The 21958-nt window shown below is 40.0% G+C and overlaps 1 protein-coding gene across 1 annotated transcript in view; it reads left to right on the top strand.

The window, feature by feature from the left end:
- The window catches only part of HEATR5A (HEAT repeat containing 5A), a 128763-nt gene that overhangs the window by 38020 nt on the left and 68785 nt on the right, over nt 1-21958 (top strand). Inside the window, exons 11-14 of the mRNA NM_015473.4 lie at nt 1953-2064; nt 7563-7715; nt 10622-10721; nt 18233-18342. Of these exons, the coding sequence (NP_056288.2) occupies nt 1953-2064; nt 7563-7715; nt 10622-10721; nt 18233-18342 (475 nt within the window). The remainder of the gene's footprint in view (nt 1-1952; nt 2065-7562; nt 7716-10621; nt 10722-18232; nt 18343-21958) is intronic.

The following is a 21958-nucleotide window of genomic DNA, read 5'->3' as shown; positions in this document are numbered from 1 at the left end:
GAATTGTAAGTTGTCAGAGAACATTATTTGACAGTGAAAGCCCTTCTAACCCATACTTCTCACAAACTCGTAAATATATTTAAAAAAATACACCATTATTCCTTTCTTTCTCATTGCCACTCCTGTGTCATTATGGAGTTTGATAGTATATCCACCATAGTGTAGGCTCTGCAGAAGACCATTCCATAACTTGAACAATTCCAAAAATATTTTGAGTATTGCCAATGCCACTGAAATAAGGTAGGTGACAACTTTGGAAGATGAGATTATTTAAATTTATTATTTTAGTTATATTCTTAACACATCACATCTTGCTAAGCAAAGACTTGTCATTCAATGTATTTAATTAAACCTATTCTCATATCTCATTAATTCAGACAAGGTTCCCATTCCCATATTATATTTGGAATTTCTTTCCGAGAGAATTATCCACTTGTTCTGATTTGACTAGAATGGTTTGTTTTGTCCTCACTCTTTTTGAGTGCTATCCATTGACTGTATGAGCTGCAGGGAGTCCTAAATTAGTAGTAAGTTGGTTGGTTGGTTTAAAATACACTAGCCTTCTTCTTTAGAAAATTTATATGCCAACTCATAATACTTCCTGCTTTTTCAGAGGTGATTGGTAATAGGTGTTTTCTCATATTAGATGCTCTCTGGCCTTGTACTGTGTAAGCATACATTATCCATAAATGTGAAATGTCCTGTTTTTCTTCTCTGTTGTTTTATAACATGGACCCCTTTTTTTGAAACAGGGTCTTGCTTTGTCACCTAGGCCAGAGTGCAGTGGCGAGATCATAGATCACTGCAGCCTCAAATGCCAGGGCTCAAGCAATCTTCCCGTCTCAGCCTCCCAAGTGGCTGAAACTACAGGCACGTAATTCCATTGCCTGGCTAATTCTTTTTATTTTTTTGTGAAGATAGGATCTCACTCTGTTGCCCAGGCTGGTCCTTTTTTTTTTTTTTTTTTTTTTTCCAAGGAGACATGGTCTTTCTTTATTGCCCAGGCTGCAATGCAGTGGTGTGATCCTAGCTCACTCCTAGGCTGGTCTTGAATTTCTGGCCTCAATTGGTCCTCCCACCTTGGCCTTCTGAGTCGTTGGGATTACAGGCATGAGCCACTGTGCCCAGCCTCATAGACTTTTTTACTATAACATTTTAATAAATTTCACTCTTCAGTATGAGACTATTTTGACTACCTCTAACCACTATAGTATACTACCTCTTGGAAGACTATTATCAGCTACTGAGTTACAAAAGTAGTATGTAGCTTTTTTTTGTTGTTGAGACTGAGTCTCACTCTGTTGCCCAGGCTGGAGTTTCAGTGGCATAATCTCAGCTCACTACAACCTCTGCCTCCTGGGTTCAAGCGATTCTTCTGCCTCAGCCTCCCGAGTAGCTGGGACTACAGGCATGTGCCACCACGCCCGGCTAATTTTTTGTATTTTTAGTAGAGATGGGGTTTCACTGTGCTAGCCAGGATGGTCTCGATCTCCTGACTTTGTGATCCACCCGCCTCAGCCTCCCAAAGTGCTGGGATTACAGGCGTGAGCCACCGCACCTGGCTGTATGTAGCATTTTTAAGAGAGAGACTCCTGTAAGAAAACTTTTTTTGGATAATTATGGATTTAAAAGGATAGTTGCTCAAAACTAAAAGTAAATTCAAATTCTATACAGCTATACTTGAATAATCTTACATTGTTGTCACATGTGTTCTACAAAAAATTATGGGATTGTTGTGTACTACCTCATATACCAGTATTTAACCTTGAAAACTTAATTTTTTATAGTTTCCTTTATGACAGTCCTATTATGTAGTCTACACGAATGACAGTTCTTTATCGTTTACATTTATTTTATGTAAGAATTAATTTTTCAAGATATTGTTAGCTGCTATCATTTAGTAATTTATAAACTGATATGCTTTTTTTAAAACTTGTTCTATATGTAAATAGATTATTATGACATTAGCAGAGGATTTGCTGTGTTCTGCTGCTCAAAACAGTCGCCTTTCAGCTCAGCGCACACAAGCTGGATGGTTGCTGATTTCTGCTCTGATGACATTAGGTAACAGTCTGTAGAAGGTTTACATACCTTGAAATACTTTGTGTTTTCTGAGTGAAATGATTCTTATATGTGATTTGATGAAATGAACTTTTAATACATACCAGAATTTAAATAGCCACACAAACATTTTTCTTGTAGTAGTCACCTTAAAAAGCCTTTTACTTTCGTCATTGCTTAAAACCTTTTGAGATCTCTCTTGATTTTCTCTTCCGGGCTAGATGATAAGCCTCAAGTAGGATAAGCCGAGTTACTAATCATCTTTCAGGCTTAACTCTGAACAACTGTGGCTTTTTCAAAAATCATTGACATCCATCTTCAGAAAAAAACATTTCCACAATATAGGCAAAAGAACATACCCATAGCTTGGGAATCCAGTTCTATAATTGTTTGAGGATTCATAACAGCCAATAAGGTTGCTACATTGAAGGGGATGAATTTTACTTAAATTATATTTATTAAAAAACAGTAATTGTTTTACAGTCATGACTATTTATATCCTCTAAATTTTTGAGACAGGGTCTCACTCTGTCACACGAGCTGGAGTGCAGTGGCATGATCATGGCTCACTGCAGCCTTGACCTCCTGGGCCCAAGTGATCCTCCTACCTAAGCCTCCCAAGTAGCTGGGACCATAGGCATGCAACATCATGCCTGGCTAATTTAAAAAAATTTTTTTTGTAGAGATGGGGTCTCACTATGTTGCCCAGGCTCGTCTCGAACTTGTGGGCTCAAGCAGTCCTTCCGCCTTGGCCTCCCAAAGTGTTGGCATTATAAGCATGAGCCACTGAAAACTTTATTTATTTATTTTTTGCCCAGTCTTATGGTGCTAATGAAACTTAATTTTATTACTCTATCACACCTATATTTTAAGTCTCTGTTGTCATACAAGTTATAGCTAGATATAAAACAACTGGCTGAGGCTGGGCATGGTGGCTCACGCTTGTAATCCCCGCACTTTGGGAGGCTGAGGCGGGTGGATCACTTGAGGTCAGGAGTTCAAGATCAGCCTGGCCAACAAGGTGAAACCCCATCTCTACTAAAATACAAAAATTAGCCGGGCATGGTGGTGCATGCCTGTAGTCCCAGCTACTCGGGAAGCTGAGGCAGGAGAATTGCTTGAACCCAGGAGGTGGAGGTTGCAGTGAAGTGAGATTGCACCACTGCACTCCAGCTTGGGTGACAGAGCAAGACTCCCTCTCAAAATAAAACAAAAAATGAATAGTTCGGGCGCAGTGGCTCACGCCGTAATCCTAGCACTTTGGGAGGCCTAGGCGGGCGGATCATCTGAGGTCAGGAGTTCAAGACCAGCCTGGCCAACAACACGGTGAAATCTTGCTTCTACTAAAAAAAATACAAAAATTAGCCAGACATGGTGGCATGTGCCTGTAGTCCCAGCTACAGGGGAGGCTGAGGCAGGAGAATTGCTTGAACCCAGGAGGCAGAGGTTGCAGTGAGCTGAGATCATGCCACTGCACTCCAGCCTGGGTGACAGAACAAGACTCCGTCTCAAAAAATAAAAATAAAAAATAATAATAAAATAAAGCAACTGACCTGATTTGGCCGATAAATCATTTTGACACCTATAAAGTAATTTGACCTAAAGGAGCTTAAATTAGAATAAACAATCATAAATGAAGAACTACTTTAAGTAGTGTTTTTTTTTTTTGTTTGTTTTTTTTTGAGGTGGAGTCTCACTTTGTCACCCAGGCTGGAGTGCAGTGGCGCGATCTCGGCTCACTGCAAGCTCTACCTCCTGGGTTCATGCCATTCTCCTGCCTCAGCCTCCCGAGTAGCTGGGACTACAGGCGCCCACCACCACACCTGGCTAATTTTTTGTATTTTTTAGTAGAGACGGGGTTTCACCATGTTAGCCAGGATGGCCTCGATGTGCTGACTTCGTGATCCACCTGCCTCGGCCTCCCAAAGCGCTGGGATTACAGGCGTGAGCCACCGCACCTGGCCAAGTAGTGTTCTTAAGATGATTAAAGAGATTTATTGGACTAGATCAAGTTTAGCTTCAAGGAGCCAAATTTGGCCTACTACCAATATTTATTATACAGCCTGTGAGCTAAGAACAGTTTTTATATTTATTAGTGGTTGGGGAAAAAAGATATTTTGTAATACATGAGAATCATGTGAAAGTCACATTTCAGCATTCATAGTTTTATTTGTGTACAACCACACTTGTTTGTGGATTGTCTGTGACCTTTAGGTGTACAGTGGCAGAGTTGAGTAATTGCAACAGGAAGTATGTGGCTCTCAAAGCCTCAAATGTTTACTATCTGCCCCTTTACAGAAAGTGTTTGTTAGACCAAAGCATAGATCATCATTTCACAGTGTGCTGGGAATAATGTAGTCAAGCTTTTATTTGCTTATTGCTGGGTGTTCATGCCTGCCGTATTGAAGTTCCTGGTGAATTAAGGAGGAAATAAACTACCTAATAAATGCATTTTGATAAACAAGAGCTTTTAAAACAAGCTAATTGTGTTGGAGGAAGACAACAAGAAGTCCTTTCTCCTGTACATCATATTTTACGGCATATGCATAATCAGCATACAAAAAGGGATTAAAAGTTTTAATTAAGGTTTTGTTTAATTACTTTGTTTTCTTGGGTTTTATTCATTTTTCTTAACTATTCTTTCCCTTTATTATCTATTTTTATTCTTATTCATTTGCTTATTTATTTTTTGAGACAGGGTCTCACTCTGTCACCCAGGCTGGAGTGCAGTGGTACGATCATGATTCACTGCAGCCTCGACCTCCGCAGGCTCGGGTGATCCACCTGCCTCAGCCTCTTGAGTAGCTGGGACTGTGTGCACCACCCTGCCTGGCTAATTTTTTGTAAAGATGGGGTTTTGTCATGTTGCCCAGGTTGGTCTTAAACTCCTGGACTCAAGCAGGTTACTCCTGGACTTAAGCAATCTGCCTTCCTTGACCTCCCAAAGTTCTGGGACTACAGGAGTGAGCCACTGCACCCAGGCTATTATCAATTTTTAGAGTGCGTTAGTATCATAGCAACTTTCAGGGGGGACCAGTGAGGTTTTTTTTTTAGGTATCATTATGAGCTCATGGAATTTTATATATTTATATGTTTTAATCACTTGCGATCATTATTCCTTTCGATCCTCAAATTGTCTCATCTTTGGTCATTGGGAGTCCCTTCAAGTTGGTTCATTTGTCCTTTTAACGTGAACCTAGTATTCTTTGATAATGTGTTTTTGCATGCAAGATGTCCCAGGTTTTACACTACATTTTCTGCCTTAGGCTTGCCATCAGCCGTTTCTCCAAGGAGCCTTGATTCCTTTTGTAGGAAATGGAATTTTTTTTTTTTTTTTTTTTTTTAAGAGACAGGGTCTCACCATGTTACCCAGGCTGGAGTACAGTGGCACCATCATAGCTCACTGCAGCCTTGAATGCCAGGCTCAAGCAGTCCTCCTGCCTCGGCCTCATGAGTAGCTAGGACTATAGGTTTACACCACTACACTCAGCTAATTTTTAAATTTTTTTTGTAGAGATGGGATCTTGCTGTTTCCCCAGCTGATCTTGAACTCCAGAGCTCAAGTGATCCTCCTGTCTTGCCCTTCCAAAGTGCTTGAATTACAGGCATGGGCCACAGTGCCCAGCTGGGAATGATTTTTAGACAGCAATCTTAGTGCTTTGTTAATTTTTGCTTTGCATTTTAAACATGTCTTCTCTGTTTTTTTCATTCCCTTTACCATTTATAATTTTCTTCATTATTTCACTATGAACTAATGTAAACACAAAACATGTTCATTCCTTGAATGTAAGCTACACACTTAAACCTTTTTTGATACACTTCCCAGTTTATCTGATGCCATATGAAAAAACTTGGATTTATCTCCAGATTCCTCCATATCTTGTCTTTCTGTGGATGGCTCATAAAGTGTGCGTGTATGTGTGTTGTGTTTGCTAGATACATTATAATTATTGTTATTTATTTATTTAAAGAAAGGATCTTGTTCTGTTGCAGTGGCAGTCAGACCATAGCTTGCTGCAGCCTTGATCTCTTGGGCTCAAATGATCCTCCTGCATCAGCCTCCCAAGTAGCTGGGACTATAGACATGTGCTACCACACCCAACTAACTTTTTACTTTTTTGTAGAAAGATTTCGGTGTGTTGACCTGGCTGGTCTCAAATGCCTGGCCTCAAGCAATCCTTCAGCCTCGGCCTCTCAAAGTGCTGGGATTACAGGCATGACCCACTGTGCCCAGCTTTAAGCACTCTTCTGTGTATAAACTCATATACGCCTCAGAAACTGTCCTTTGAATAAAATACTATTATTCTCCCCATTTATGGATGAAGAAATTGAGGCAGAAAAAGGTTAAATAACTCATCCAGGTTTACACAACTAATAAGTGGATGAAGCCAGGATATTAATCTAGGCAGTCTCCCTCCAAAGCCAAATGCAGTTCTGAGCTATGGGTTTGGAACAGAAGAAAGACATACAGTCAGCAGAATGTGGGAGTAAGAAGTAGAGAGCGCTTACTGGAGAAGTTTAAAGTAACTCCAGAAATTTAAAGAAAAGTACCTGGGGAGAAAAGCTATGGGTTTGGGTTTTTAAAAAATTGATAATGTTATCATTGTACATTGTTTTGTATTATTATTGGGTTTGTGTCATGATTCCTTCAATTCATAAATGTTGCTCTGAAACCTTTTTTTAACAAAAAGTATTCTATTCAGACATTTTGTATCTGATTATTGACCTGGAACAAGTTGCTATCAGAAGTTAGCATTATTCTGAAGATCAAGAATACAGATGGCTCACATCTGTAATTCCAGCACTTTGGGAGGCTGAAGTGGGTGGATTGCTTGAGCCCAGGAGTTCAGACCTGCCTGGGAAACATGGCGAGACCCCATCTCTACCAAAAAATACAAAAATTAGCTGGGCGTGGTGGCATGTACCTGTAATCCCAGCTACTCAGGAGGCTGAGCTGGAAGGATCACTTAAGCTCAGGGGGGTTGAGATTGAGATTGCAGTGAGCTGTGATCATGCCACTGCACTACTAAACTCCAGCCTGGGGGACAGAGAAAGAACCTGTCTCAAAAAGCATGCAATGTTGTTTGTTACTATAATAATTGTACTTTGCATTTATGTGGTCCATTACAGCTTTTCAGAGTACTTTAAAGTGCATTCTATCATTTGGACCTGACAAGCCCTTAAAGACAAGCATTACAGGGGGCTTTAGCTTCATTTAATATGTAGACGAAACTGAGTCTCAAAGAGCACATAGCAGTAGTGGAGGAGCTGATACTAGAGCCCAGCCTGTACCATTAGTTCTTTGTTTTTCCTCTCTGTACTCCAGCACCTTCAGATAATAATTCATTCAGTAATAATTTGGAACCTGAAGATAAGAAAGGGGACAAAATGTTGCAATAATGAATTAAAATGTTTAGGAGAGAAGTTGCTGCTTAATAATAGAGTTTTAAAGAGTGACAACCTTGGATTCTCTTACAAGTGACAAGTTGAATAAATTACAGGTCCTGCAGTTGTTAGCCATCACCTTGCTCGAGTTCTGCTGTTGTGGAAGTGTGTCTTTCCAGCATCTCCTAAAGATCTAGAAACAGAAAAGAGCCGAGGAGATTCGTTTACATGGCAGGTGACCCTGGAAGGACGAGCTGGTGCACTGTGTGGTAGGTTGGATTTAGTCTTTTCTCTCCCTTTCCTTTGGCTTTTTACCCACCCTTTGTCTTTAACATGTACTTGTATGTTTTATTTAACACGAGGCAGGGGGATATGCCACTAATGATTTTTTTTTGTAACTGAACAAAAAAATTATAACCGATTAGTTGGTAATGATAACTGGTGTATGTTATAATAAACCAGATTTGAGAGTTCTTAAGATACATGTTTTATTAGGTCCAATCCAGTTAAAACTGCCAACATTGTTTTGTCTTAGGTGAGCATTCATTCCTCTTTTCAGAAATACTAAGGTTTGGTTTAATTACCATTAAGAATCGTTTCCATTTAGCCTATACAGTTGACCCTTGAACAGCATGGAGGTTAGGGATGCCAATGCGCCTCGAAGTCAAAAATCTGTGTCTAGCTTTTAACTCCCCAAAAATGTATCTAATATCCTACTGTTGACCAGAAGCCTTACTGATAACATAAATGGTCAATTACCACTTTTTTTTTTTTTTTTTTTTTGAGATAGGGTCTCACTGTTGCCCAGGCTAGAATGTTGTGGTGTGAACACAGCTCACTGCAGTCTTGGCCTGCTGGGCTAGTGATCCTCTCACGTCAGCCTCCCAAGTAGCTGAGACCACAGGTGCATGCCACCATGCCCAGCTAATTTTTAAATTTTTTGTAGAGATGGAGTCTCACTATGCTGCCCAGGCTGGTCTCGAACCCCTGACCTCAAGCAGTCCTCCCACCTCAGCCTCCCAAAGTGTTGGGATTACAGGCGTGAGTCACCACACCCAGCCCCACATATTTTGTATGTTGTATATATTATATACTGTATTCTTGGAGTAAGCTAGAGAAAAGAAAAAGTGTTATTAAGAAAATCATAAGGAAGAGAAAATATATTTACTATTCATTACACAGAAGTAGATCATCATAAAGGTCTTCATCCTCATCATCTTTATGTTGAGAAGGCAGAGTAGGGGTTGATCTACTTCTCTCACTGGGGGCAGATGCAGAAGAGGTGGAGCAGGTGGAAGGGGAGGCAGGAGAGGTAGGCACACTCGGTGTGGCATCTGTTGAAAAAAACCTATGTATGAAGAGACCCTTGAAGTTCACATTTGTGTTGTTCAAGGGTCACCTGTATATGAAAGTTGTACCTTCTACAATATGTAGACTGTTAAAAGTAATGTTTCAGCCAGGTGCTGTGGCTCACGCTTGTAATCTCAGCACTTTGGGAGGCTGAGGTGGGTGGATCACCTGAGGTCAGGAGTTTGAGACCAGCCCAGACAACATGGTGAAACCCCATCTCTACTAAAAATACAAAAAAATTAGCCAGATGTGGTGGTGGGCGCTTGTAATCCTAGCTACTTGGGAGGCTAAGACAGGAGAATCGTTTGAACCCGAGAGGCAGAGGTTATAGTGAGTTGAGAATGCGCCATTGCACTCCAGCCTGGACAACAAGAGTGAAACTCCATCTCAGAAAAAAAAAAAAAAAGTAATGTTTCACCATGAAGGGTGAGATCCCTGGAAAGACATGGAAGCATTGATTTTGGTTTTGTTTATTCATGGCATTTTTACTGTTAAAGAAAAACCACTTTTGAAATTGATTTTGGCCAGGCTCAGTGGCCAATCCCAGCATTTTTGGAGGCCGAGATGAGTGGATTGCTTGAGCTCAGGAGTTCAAGACCAGCCTGGACAACATGGTGAACTGCTCTCTCTACAAAAAATACAAAAATTAGCCAGACATGGTGGTGCATGCCTGTAGTCTGGGGTGGGAGGATTACCTGAGCGTGGGAGGTGGAGGCTTCATTGAGTTGTGGTTGCACCACTGTATTCCAGCCTGGGTAACAGTGAGATTCTGTCTCAAAGGGTCCAGGGGTGTGGGAGGTGGGGTCGGGAGGGAAGGAGGGAGGGAGGGAGGGAGAGAGAGAGAGAGGGAGAGAGAGAGCGAAAGAGAGAAAAGAATTGATCAGTCTGACTTTGTTTTTTTGTTTTTGAGACGGAGTTTCACTCTTGTTGCCCAGGCTGGAGTGCAATGGCATGATCTTGGCTCACCACAACCTCTGCCTTCCGGGTTCAAGTGATTCTCCTGTCTCAGCCTCCTGAGTAGCTGGGATTACAGGCATGCGCCACCATGCTCAGCTAATTTTGTATTTTTAGTAGAGATGGGGTTCTCCATGTTGGTCAGGCAGGTCTCAAACTCCCAACTTCAGGTGATCTGCCCTCCTCAGCCTCCCAAAGTGCTGGGATTACGGGTGTGAGCCACTGCGCCTGGCCCAGTCTGACTTTAAAATACTCATCTTATTCTACATACAAAGTAATTCATTATAGAAAGTTATTTATTCCAGACACCATGTCTCAATCCTATAATCCTAGCACTTTGGGAGGCCCAGGCAGACAGATCAATCACTTGAGGCCAGGACTTCGAGACCAAGCCTGGCCAACATGGTGAAACCCCTTCTCTTCTAAAAATACAAAAATTATCCAGGGGTGGTAGCACACACTATTTGTTTCAGATAACATCTGTAAAAACCTAACATGCTGACTTGAAAGTCAGTGTGATTCCACGGAACTAGTTGTAGAGCTGGCAAACTTGAGAGTCTAAGCTGGTTTTTTTTTTTTTTTTTGCTTCTAAGCTTGAGGGCTGAGTAAAAGTAAAACCCTAGAACAGCAGCATTTTGTGAATATGGTTATTGCTCCGTCTTAGTACTCCTAGAGAGTTGTTGTTGTTTTTTTAAGTATGATTAGGAGTAGAAAGCACTATATACCTTTTTATACTAGAGTTTCAAGAATTTTTTTATTTTAGCAAATTGCTTTATTACTCTAATAACAATGCTAATGTTGTACCATAATCAAATGTGCCTTTCATGGTTGATTACAGTATGCCCAAGTAAAAGTCTGTTTTCCTTTTCAGCTATCAAGAGCTTTGTTTCCCACTGTGGTGATCTTCTTACTGAGGAAGTAACTCAGCGTCTTCTTCCACCACTTCCTTGTGCTGTGGATTTGCTAACTCAGTAAGCATCGACTGTTTAGATTTGATAGTTGCCCTCTGATTATGTAATATTCCTTAAGTACATTAATAAGGCAAATTTCTGTAGTTGGTGAATGATTTTATGGAGGAAGGCAATCAGTTAGTTATATGATTTTTTTTTAGGCTAGGATCTTGAAAGAAATTACATATTAAAAGGGAAGGAAAATTTTAGGGGAATAATCTACCTTACATACAGGCAGATTTAACAAGAAATTAACTATTAAGCCTCTTAACCTTTTCAGCTATGCATTTTATTGGTTTGTTAGAGTATTCTGTGTTCGTGAGAACCAGATGCTTCTAACAGTTTCAGTTTTTTGTTTGTTTATATTTTTCATAAGTTTGAGTTATACGTATATGATTAGAACATATAGAGAAAAGCCAGTATATAATGTGAGCACTTGTAATTTCCAAATTAATAAAACATGTGAAAGTTCTTTGAAAACAGCATCTAATGATTAACACTTTATATATACAGAAAATACATTTAAGATATGGCTTATAAGGTATAATAATAAAATGTGCACTTGTGAATCCAACACAGCCTGAGCAAAGGTTTGTGACTGTTTCTTCTGAAGGACCAGATAGTAAATACTTTAGGATATACAGACTATGAAGTCTATGTTGCAGCTACTCAACTCTCTCATCGTAGCTCAAAAGCAGTCACGGATAATAGGTGAATGAATGAATGAATGAATGAATGTGGCTGTGTTCCAATATAACTTTATTTACAAAAACAGGCAGTGGGTCATAATTTGGCTACCACTGGACTAGAGCATTAATGATACTATTGAAGGTGTCTGTGTGCCCCTCTCCAGCACCATTCTTTGTGCCTTCCTTTAGAAGCAACCACTAATCTGAATTTTATAGTTGTCATTTCCTTGCCTTTTAAAAAAGTGTATCACATATTTTTGTTTCTTAAAATAGTACATTGTTTAGGTTTGTTTGGTTTTGATCAGGCAAAAATTACTGTCCTGTTTCTGGGGCTTGCTTTTGTTATTCAACATTATGTTTCTAAGTTTTACCTATGTTTTAAGTTCATTCATTTTCGTTGCTGTATAATATTTAATTGTGTGAATATACAACAACATATTGATTCTCTTGTCAATGGACTTCTGGGTTGTTTCCAATTTTCTGCTTTTAAAGCTTATGGTAATAATGTGACCATTTGTACTCAAGCTGTTTAAGTCTCTAGGGTATGTACCTAGTAGTGAAATTGCTATGCTAAAACGTATTTTTATGTTCAACTTCAGAAAATAAACCAAATTATTTTTCAGTGTTCTTCTGTATTTCTACCAATAGTGTAAGTATCCTTTGACCCACTTTTTCACCAACACTTACTCAGTTATCAATTCTACCCCATCCAATAGGTAAAAAATGGTATCTCATTATGGTTTTAATTGTATATCGGTTTCCTGACGGTTTAAGTATAATTTTATATGTTTGTTTTTTCTCAATATTTCCCTTCCCCATGCTATAAAATGCCTATTCATTCATATCTTTAACCTATTTTTCTTTTAGGTTGTCTTTTTGTTATTGATTTATAAGAAATTCTTCCTTTTTTTTTTTTGAGACGTAGTCTCGCTCTGTCACCCAGGCTGGAGTGCAGTGGTACAATCTCGGCTCACTGCAACCTCCGCCTCCCGGGTTCACACCATTCTCCTGCCTCAGCCTCCCGAGTAGCTGGGACTACAAGCGCCCACCACCATGCCTGGCTAATTTTTTGTATTTTTAATAGAGATGGGGTTTCACCGTGTTAGCCAGGATGGTCTCGATCTCCTGACCGTTATCCGCCTGTCTCGGCCTCCCAAAGTGCTAGGATTATAGGCATGAGCCACCATGCCTGGCCTTTTTTTTTTTTTGAGATAGAGTCTTACACTGTCACCCAGGCTGGAGTGCAGTGGCGCGATCTCCGGTCACAGCAACCTCCGTCTCCCGGGTCCCCGTTCAAGAGATTCTTCTGCCTCAGCTTCCTGAGTAGCTGGGATTACAGGCATGCACCACCATACCCAGCTAATTTTTGTGTTTTTAATAGAGATGGAGTTTCACCATGTTGACCAGGCTGGTCTCAAACTCCTGACCTCAGGTGATAAACCCACCTCGGCCTCCCAAATTGCTGGGATTACAGGCATGAGCCACTGCGTCAGGCCATTTTTGGGTTTTTTTTTTTTTTTTTTTTTTTTTTTTGAGACAGTTTTGCTCTGTTGCCCAGGCTGGAGTGCATTTGTGTGATCTCCACTCACTGCAATCTCCACCTCCTGGTTTCAAATTATTCTCCTGCTTCGGTCTCCCCAGTAAGGGATTATAGGCATGCACCACTATGCCTGGCTAATTTTTGTGTTTTTCATAGAGACAGGATTTTGCCATGTTGGCCAGGCTGGTTTTGAACTTCAGGCCTCAAGTGATCTGCCGGCCTCAGCCTCCCAAAGTGCTGGGATTACAAGCATGAGCCATCACGCTCAGCCTTTTTTCTTGTTTGTGAGACAGGGTCTCACTCTGTCACCTAGGCTGGAGTGCAGTGGCGTGAACATGGTTCACTGCAGCCCCAGGCTCCCAGGCTTAAGTGATCCTCCCAGGCTTAAGTGATCCTCCCACGTAAGCCTCCCAAGTAACTGGAACTATAGGTGTGCACCACCACACCCAGCTAATTTTTTACTTTTTTGTAGACACAGGGCCTCACTATGTTGCCTAGACTGGTCTCAAATTTCCAGGCTCAAGCGATGTTCCTGCCTCAGCCTCCCAAAGTGCTTAGATTATCTTGTGAGTCACCATGCCTGGCCTACATATTTCTGAGACTATTCTTTAGCTGTTCATTAAAATATTAAAAATGTCTTCTAGTTTTTTATTAATAAACATTTATTATTTAAATGTCAAATGTATTAATCTTTTACTCTTTGGTTAGTACTTTTTTTCTTTTTGTTTAAAAATTCTTCCTGGCTGGGGCAGTGGCTCATGCCTGTAATCCTAGTGCTTTGGGAGGCTGAGGTGAGAGGATTGCTTGAGGTCAGGGATTTGAGACCAGCCTGAGCAACATAGTGAGGTCTCATCTCTACCAAAATAAATAAATAAATAAATAAATAAATAAATAAATAAATAAATAGAGTCAGATGTACTGATGCTCACTAGTAGTCCTAGCTACACAGGAGGCTGAGGCGGGAATGATTGCTTGAGCACCTCAATTCAAGGCTATAGTCTTGATTGCGCCACTGCTCTCCAGCCTGGATGACAGAGTGAGACCCCAGTTCCAAAAAAAAAGAAGTCTTCCTTACTGCAAAGTTATATTTTCTTATATTTCTCTCTGAAGTGTTTGAAGGTTTATCTTTCATATTTAAGTCATCTGGAACCGATTTTTCTATTTGGAGTGAGCTAGGGATCTGTCTTAGTCCATTTGTGCTGCTATGCTGCTATCACAAAATACCTGAGGCTGGATAATTTATTAAAAAACGGGCACTTATTTCTAACAGTTCTGGAGGCAGGAGTCTAAGATCAAGACACCAGCAGATTGGGTGTCTGATGAGAGCCTGCTGTTTACCTCCAAGATGGCACCTTGTTGCTACATTCTCTAGAGGGGAGGAACTCTGTGCCTTCTTCATCTGGCAAAGGGATAGAAGGGCAAAAAAAAAGGGCCAAACTCCCTCCGTGAAGCCCTTTTATAATGACATTAATCCATTTGTGAGGGCTTTGCCTTCACGACCTGAACACCTACCAAAAGGCCCTACCTCCCAGCAGTACTGCATTGGGGATTAAGTTTCTAATACATGAATTTTGGAGGACACATTCAGACCCCATAGCAGGATTCAGTTTCGTTTTGTTTTTAAATATGGATAACAAACTGTCCCATACGTTACTAAAAAAATCCATACTTCCTTCAATGATTGCCATTCACTTCTGTCATGTATTATATTCTCATTTATGCATGATCTATGCCTGTGCTCTCTATTGGTGTGTTTATTTATATGCCAACACGTTATCTTTATAATAAATTTTGTATGTTAGATTAAGCCTTTTGACGTTACTCCTCTTTAGACATATTTTGGCCCTTCATGCACTTTTGATCTTCTATTGAAATTTTATTTGGGGCTGGGCACAGTGGCTCATGCTATAATCCTATCATTTTGGGAGGCTGAGGTGGGTAGATCATTTGAGGTCAGAAGTTCAAGACCAGCCTGGCCAACATGGTGAGACCCCGTCTGTACTAAAAAAAAAAAAAAAAAAAAAAAAAAAAATTAGCTGGGCATAGTGGTGGCACATGGCTGTAATCCCAGCTACTCAGGAGGTGGAGGCAGGAGAATAGTCTGAAACGAGGAGACAGAGGTCATAGTGAGTCAAGATCACGCCACTGCACTCCAGCCTGGGTAACAGAGTGAGACTCCATCTCAAAAAATAAATAAATAAATAAGATAAATTTTATTTGAGATTGCATTGAATCTGTGGATAAATTTGAAGATAATTCATAGTTTTATAATACCTCTGAACATGATACCTCTTTACTATTATTGAGGTATTTTACAAAGTTTAAATTGTTTTCTAAATAAAGGTCTTATAAGTCTTTTTAAAAAATTTACTCCGAGGTTCTTTGTATTTTTGTTGTGATTATTAAATAAATGGGTATATAGTGTATATAGTCTGTTTATTGCTGCCGTATAAAAATGTATTTGATTTTGTATCTGACCACCTTACTGAATTTTGTCCTATGAAACATTTATTTGTAGATTCATCTGGATTTTTCCTTTTACAATATTGTTTCTCTCTTCCTTATGTGCTAACTTTATTAGATAACTGCCATTTGAAACTAAATAGGGTTAAAGGGAATGCTTTTCATGTTTTACTGATAGGATGGTGTTTGCTCCAGCTTTTTTAGTAGATACTCTATCAGATTAAGAGAGTAACCTCCTATTCCTAGTTTGGTTTGGTGAAAGTTTCTTAAAATGAATGGGTTTTACACCCCTACCATGGGTGCAAGCCTAGTCTCAGATCCTTGTGTTGGTATTGATATTTATGTTCCTACTCTAGTTTCAGCTTATGTCTTGTTTCATTTTTTTAAATGTATGTTTGCTTGCTTTTATTGGCATAGGGGCTGGTTGGCCTCAGAAAAGTCTCTTTCTGTAAGTCTAACAATGCAAATTATCTTTTATCCTGATAAAAGATTTATTTATACTTAATTTATACTTACCTAAGTAAGTAGCAGGAAGGCCCTGCAGGGACTATAATCTGCCCTCCTAATGAACGCAGAAACCAATAAAAATGCTTTTCTAAATTCTTACTTTGTTTTATTCATCTTTTTTTAAAAAATGTACATACACTTCTCTGAACTAAATTTTATTATAGTTAAAATAAGTGAACGTTGCAGGATTTTTAGAAATATAATTTCCTAACATCTTGTGAATATGATTGAAAGACTTTTTGTGTGTTAGCTATTTATTTCTAATCTGGCCTTAGAGAAATATAAAAGTGCAGTAGATTTATTCTTAAATTTGGTAACTAAAAAATTCTACTGAAACAGAGGTTTTTGTTTTTGTTTTGAGACACTATTTCAGTCTGTCGCCCGGGATTGAGTGCAGTGGCGCAGTCATAGCTCACCATATCCTCAAACTCGTGGGCTCAAGCGATCATCTGGCCTCAGCCTCCCAAAGTGCTGGAATTACAGGTGTGAGCCACCATGCCTGGCCTTACCCAGGTGTTACAATTATGTTTGCTAAGTAGTATTTACCAAGCTGAAAGATACTAAATGGAAACAACATTTTAAAATATTCAGTGATAAGTCAATAGATAACTCTCCTTTCTTCTAGAGACTAGAAATAGCAAGCATTAGTTTTCTAGAAAGTACAGTTGGCCAGGCATGGTGGCTCATGCCTGTAATCCCCACACTTGAGGAGGCCGAGATGGGTGGATTACTTGAGCTCAGGAGTTTCAGACCAGCCTGGGCAACATGGTGAAACCCCATCTCTACAAAAAATACAAAAATTAGCCAGACATGATGGCCCACACCTGTGGTCCCAGCTGCTTGGGAGGCTAAGGTGAGAGGATCACTTGAGCCCAGGAGATTGAGGCTGCAGTGAGCTGAGATCACGCCACTACAATCCAGCCTGGGCGACAGAGCAAGACCCTGTCTCGACAACAACAACAAAAAAAGTACACGCTGGGCATGGTGGCTCATGCCTGTATCCCAGCACTTTGGGAGGCCGAGGTGGGTGCATCACGAGGTCAGGAGATCGAGACCATCCTGGCTAACATGGTGAAACCCCATCTCTACTAAAAATACAAAAAATTAGCCAGGCGTGGTGGCACGTGCCTGTAGTCCCAGCTAGTCAGTAGGCTGAGGCAGGAAAATGACTTGAACCCAGGAGGCGGAGGTTGCAGTGAGCCAAGATCGCGTCACTGCACTCCAGCCTGGGCAATAGAGCAAGACTCCATCTCGGAAAGCAAAATAACAAAACAAAAAAGAAAGTACAAATGACTCAACATTGCCAGAATTTCTTAGAGAACCAGGAAACCTCATGCCATAACAGTTTAGCAGATTTATTCTAGTGACATAATAAAAGTAATTTCATTAAACTTCTGTATTGCTAAGGATGAAAACCATACTCTAGTTGATAATATACCTTGTTAAAAGTAGTAGTCCTGGCCGGGTGCAGTGGCTCACACCTGTAATCCCAGCACTTTGGGAGGCTGAGGTGGGTGGATCACGAGGTCAGGAGTCCAAGACCACCCTGGCCAATATGGTAAAACCCCGTCTCTACCAATAATACAAAAATTAGCCGGGCATGGTGGTGCGCACCTGTAGTCCCAGCTATTGGGGAGGCTAAGGCAGAAGAATTGCTTAAACTCGGGAGGCGGAGGTTGCAGTGAGCCGAGATCATACCACTACCACTCCAACCTGGGTAACAGAGTGAGACTCCATCTCAAAACAAAACAAACAAACCAAAAACAGTAGTAGTCCTTTAGCAAATGTTTGTTAAATGAATGAGCATTGGTAAAGTGATGTCTTAACACCAGTAGGAAAGGTGAACAGAAGATAAAGAAGAGTACATGAAAATGAAAGGAGAGAGTGTGAAGAAAGATCATATTTTGTGGCCAGGTGTGGTGGCTTGGGCCTGTAATCCCAGCACTTTGGGAGGCTGAGGCGAGAGGATTGCTTGAGCCCATGAGTTTGAAACCAGCCTGGGCAACATGACGAAACCCATCTGTACCAAAAATACAAAATAAAATTAGCCAGGCATGGTAGTGCAACCCTGTAGTTCCCAGCTACTTAGGAATCTGAGGTGGGAGAATCGTTTGAGCCCACAAGACAGAGGTTGCCGTGAGCCAAGATCATGCCACTGCATCCCGGTCTGGGCTACAGAGCTGGACCCTGTCTCAAAAAATAAAAGTAAAGCAGCACTAATGTTTGTTAATAAAATACATAGCTAATTTATATGTTAAGATATTAAGCTGTCAATTTTTGTATATTGTTATATAACTTAACCACTTAAGATACACTTTTTCTTTTATTTTAAGGCTTTCTTCAATACTAAAAATGTATGGAAGTCCTTTGAAAACACCGTCAGTGGTTTATAGACAAAGACTTTATGAACTGTTGATTTTATTACCTCCTGAGACCTATGAAGGTATGTGCCTTAGACCAAAATGTTTTTTTGTTTGTGGCTAGTATGGTTTCTGGAACAATAGTTATTGTCACTCATTAAATATTTAAATGAATTATAATGGCAGTTATTTAGTGCCTTGTTTCTAGGAGGTTTAGGGAGTTCAGTCCTAATCCATGTGTTCACCATCTTATAGTAAAAAAAACATTCGGGGTTTTGTTTTTGTTTTAATTTTTTTTGAGACAGGGTCTCACTCTCTTACCCAGGCTGGTATGCAGTGTTATGCAATCATGGCTCACTTCAGCCTTGGGCTCAAATGACCCTCCAACCTCAGCCTCCTGGGTAGCTGGAACTACAGGCACACCACCACGCTCAGCTAGTTTTTTGTATTTTCGTTAGAGACAGGGTTTCGCCATGTTGCCCAAGCTGGTCTCGAATTCCTGGGCTCAAGCAATTCTCCTGCCTTGGCCTCCCAAAGTGCTGGGATTATAGGTGTGGGCTATTGAGCCCAGCCTAAAATACTTTTTTTTAAAAAACCTCCTTCTTAAGGCCAGGCACTGTGTTAGAAATTGTATCTATTATATCTCATTTATCCTGGGATGATACAGTGAGCTAGTTACATTTTTCTTATTTGACAGATAAAGGTTTAGGTTACAAAACCAACTCAAGAACACATACCAGATAAAGAGTGGAATCAGGATTGAAACATAAGTTTGCCTCATGCTGTGCTGCTGCCTTTTCTAAGTAACCTATTTAGAGACTTAACAATCATAGCTTAGTGATATGTCTTATTCTTTGCCATCTATCAATTTAAAAGTTACTTGCTAGATATCTAGTAAAAAGCTGAGAGATAATTTCTGTATTCCACAGCTCAGATAACTGTTGCGTTGTGACAAAAGCAATTTCCTTCAGATTTTTACAATAGTATCTTGAAATTTATTTTCAGACTAAAATAAACTTTTTTTTTTTTTTTGGAGACAGAGTCTTGCTCTGTCCCCCAGGCTGGAGTGCAGTGGCATGATCTCGGCTCACTGAAACCTCTGCCTCCTGTGTTCAAACGATTCTCCTGCCTCAGCCTCCGGAGTAGCTGGAACTACAGGCATGCGCTACCATGCCTGGCTAATTTTTTTGTATTTTTAATAGAGATGGGGTTTCACCATGTTGGCCAGGCTGGTCTCAAACTCCTTACCTCATATGATCCATCCTCCTCAGCCTCCCAAAGCGCTGGGATTACAGGTGTGAACTCCTGACCTCAGGTGATTCACCCTCCTTGGCCTCCTAAAGTTCTAGGATTGCAGGCATAAGCCACTGTGCCCAGCTAAAAGGACTGCTGCTCAACTCTTCAATAAACATTTAGGAATACAAGAATCTCGACTTAAAATCTACAGTGTATCTTCTGATAAATAATGGAAGTCTTTTTTTTGTTTTTTTTTTTGAGATGGGGCCTCACTCTGTCAACCAGGCTGGAGTGCAGTTGTGTGATCATGGCTCACTGCAGCCTCGACCTCCCAGGCTCAAGTCATCCCACCTCAGCCTCCCAAGTAGCTGGGACTGCAGGTGTACACCACCACTCCCAGCTAGTTTTTTTTTTTTTTTTTTTTTTTTTGTCATTTGTAGAGATGAGGTCTTGCTGTGCTGCCCAGGTTGTTCTCAAATTTCTGGGCTTCAGTGATCCTCCCACCTCAGCCTCTCAAAGTGTTGGGATTACAGTCATGAGCCACTGGGCCTGGCCTGATAATGTAAGTCTTACCCTTAAAAAAACTTGAATTAGAGGAAAAAGTCTTGAAGTCTTCTACTTTTTTTTTTTTAACTTGGATTTTCTCAGAATTGGAGTTTGGAAATGCAATCAGGAGTCCTAAAGGATATATTTCAAATCAGTTCCACAGTGTTCATTAGGAGACAAAGTCAGGACTTACTATGAACTTCTGGAAGAAACAAACTCTAGGCCAGGTACATTGGCTCACATCTATAATCCCAGCACATTGGGAGGCTAAGACAAATGGATCATTTGAGGTCAGGAATTCGAGACCAGCCTGGCCAACATGGTGAAATCCCATCTCTACTAAAAATACACAAAATAATTAGCTGGGCATGGTGGCACATGCCTGTAGTCCCAGCTACTTAGGAGGCTGAGGCAGGAGAATCGTTTGAACCTGGGAGGCAAAGGTTGCAGTGAGCCGAGATCGTGCCACTGCACTGCAGCCTGGGTGGCAGAGTGAGATTCCATCTCTAAATAAATAAATAAATAAATAAATAAATAAATAAATAAATTTCTGATTTTATTGGTTCCTCCAATGTGTTGTCAAAGAGTCAGTTTCTAGGACATAGTAAGAAATTGCTTTTGCCATGTGGAATGTACTTAAGAATTGAAATAACTTTTCTTCATGACTATCCAGCAGATGTAGATTTAGAGTCTTAGAGTGACTTAGTTTTCCGAAGGATTGGAGTAAAAATTGAGTTCTTAGTTTTTATTTCCTGTCTTAGTTTTGGTATGGATTTATTTTCAAATATCTTAATATTCTCTACATTGAAAATAACTCACCAGCAAGTTAGTGATGCATTTTTATACAAAAGCCTATTTGCATTTCAAAATTATCTTAATTATTTTTAGGTACTTTTTCCAGGGACAGTTGGGAAAGTAATCACTTTCAACTGAGAAGCAGAGATTTTCTACTATTTTCACACATAGCCATAGGAACAAGCATACCTTTTATATTGTACTACCAACAGAATTATTTTGCTGAGTGTCATATGCTGGTAATTAAACTTAGACATTCCTTTGAGCAACTGTCATTTGCTCAGTCATTATGACTTCACTGATCCCTGTCCATTCTTCCTAATTCCTGTATGTAATCTCTCCTTCCCTAAATTTAATAGTGCTTTTGTTTTTATCTTTTATGAAACATAATAGTTCCTACCTTCCTATTATATGTATATATTGGTATCCCATAGTGTATACCTTCTTGAAAGGAAGATTAAATATAATAAAATTTTTCTCTGTAGCATATTAAACACAATTTGGATGAATGAGTGATTCAGCACGGTGGTTAAAAGCTCAAATTCTGGAGCCTGATTAACTGGGTTTCAGTCTGACAGCTATGTGATCATCATATGATCTCTGGCAAGTAATAAATTCCCTGTTCCTGTTTCCTTACCTGTAAAACAACATACTAACCTGACCTTATTAGGTTACTATGAAGGTTATATGTAAAGTTTTTAGGACATTTCCCAACACGTATTAAGTATTCAGTAAGCCAAGCACCGTGTGTAATCTCAGCTATTCAGGAGGCTGAGACAGGAGGATCACTTGAGGCTTGGATTTAGAGATTAGCCTGGACAATATTGTGAGACCTCATCTCTTAAAAAAAAAAAAGTAAGCTTCAATAAATATTTGTTGTTACTACTGTTACTGCTGCTAATGATACAGAAAGTGATGGCAAGTAAACCCTTCCTAACTCATCCTACCACTTCTGATCAGTGGATATCACCTCAGTCCTCATTTCATCCTGGTGCAATTGCTCAAAGAAACACTTCGAAGAGTATAAACATTTTTCTAAGGGAATTTTTACTCATTCCTGCAGTATTTAAGTTACAAACTGGCAAAAGCCATTTAAGCTCTCTGTGGATAAGATTTTTTGAT

Source organism: Homo sapiens, chromosome 14, assembly GCF_000001405.40.
Source record: "Homo sapiens chromosome 14, GRCh38.p14 Primary Assembly".
Lineage (NCBI taxonomy): Eukaryota > Metazoa > Chordata > Mammalia > Primates > Hominidae > Homo > Homo sapiens.
This window is presented reverse-complemented; position numbering and strand designations above follow the sequence as displayed.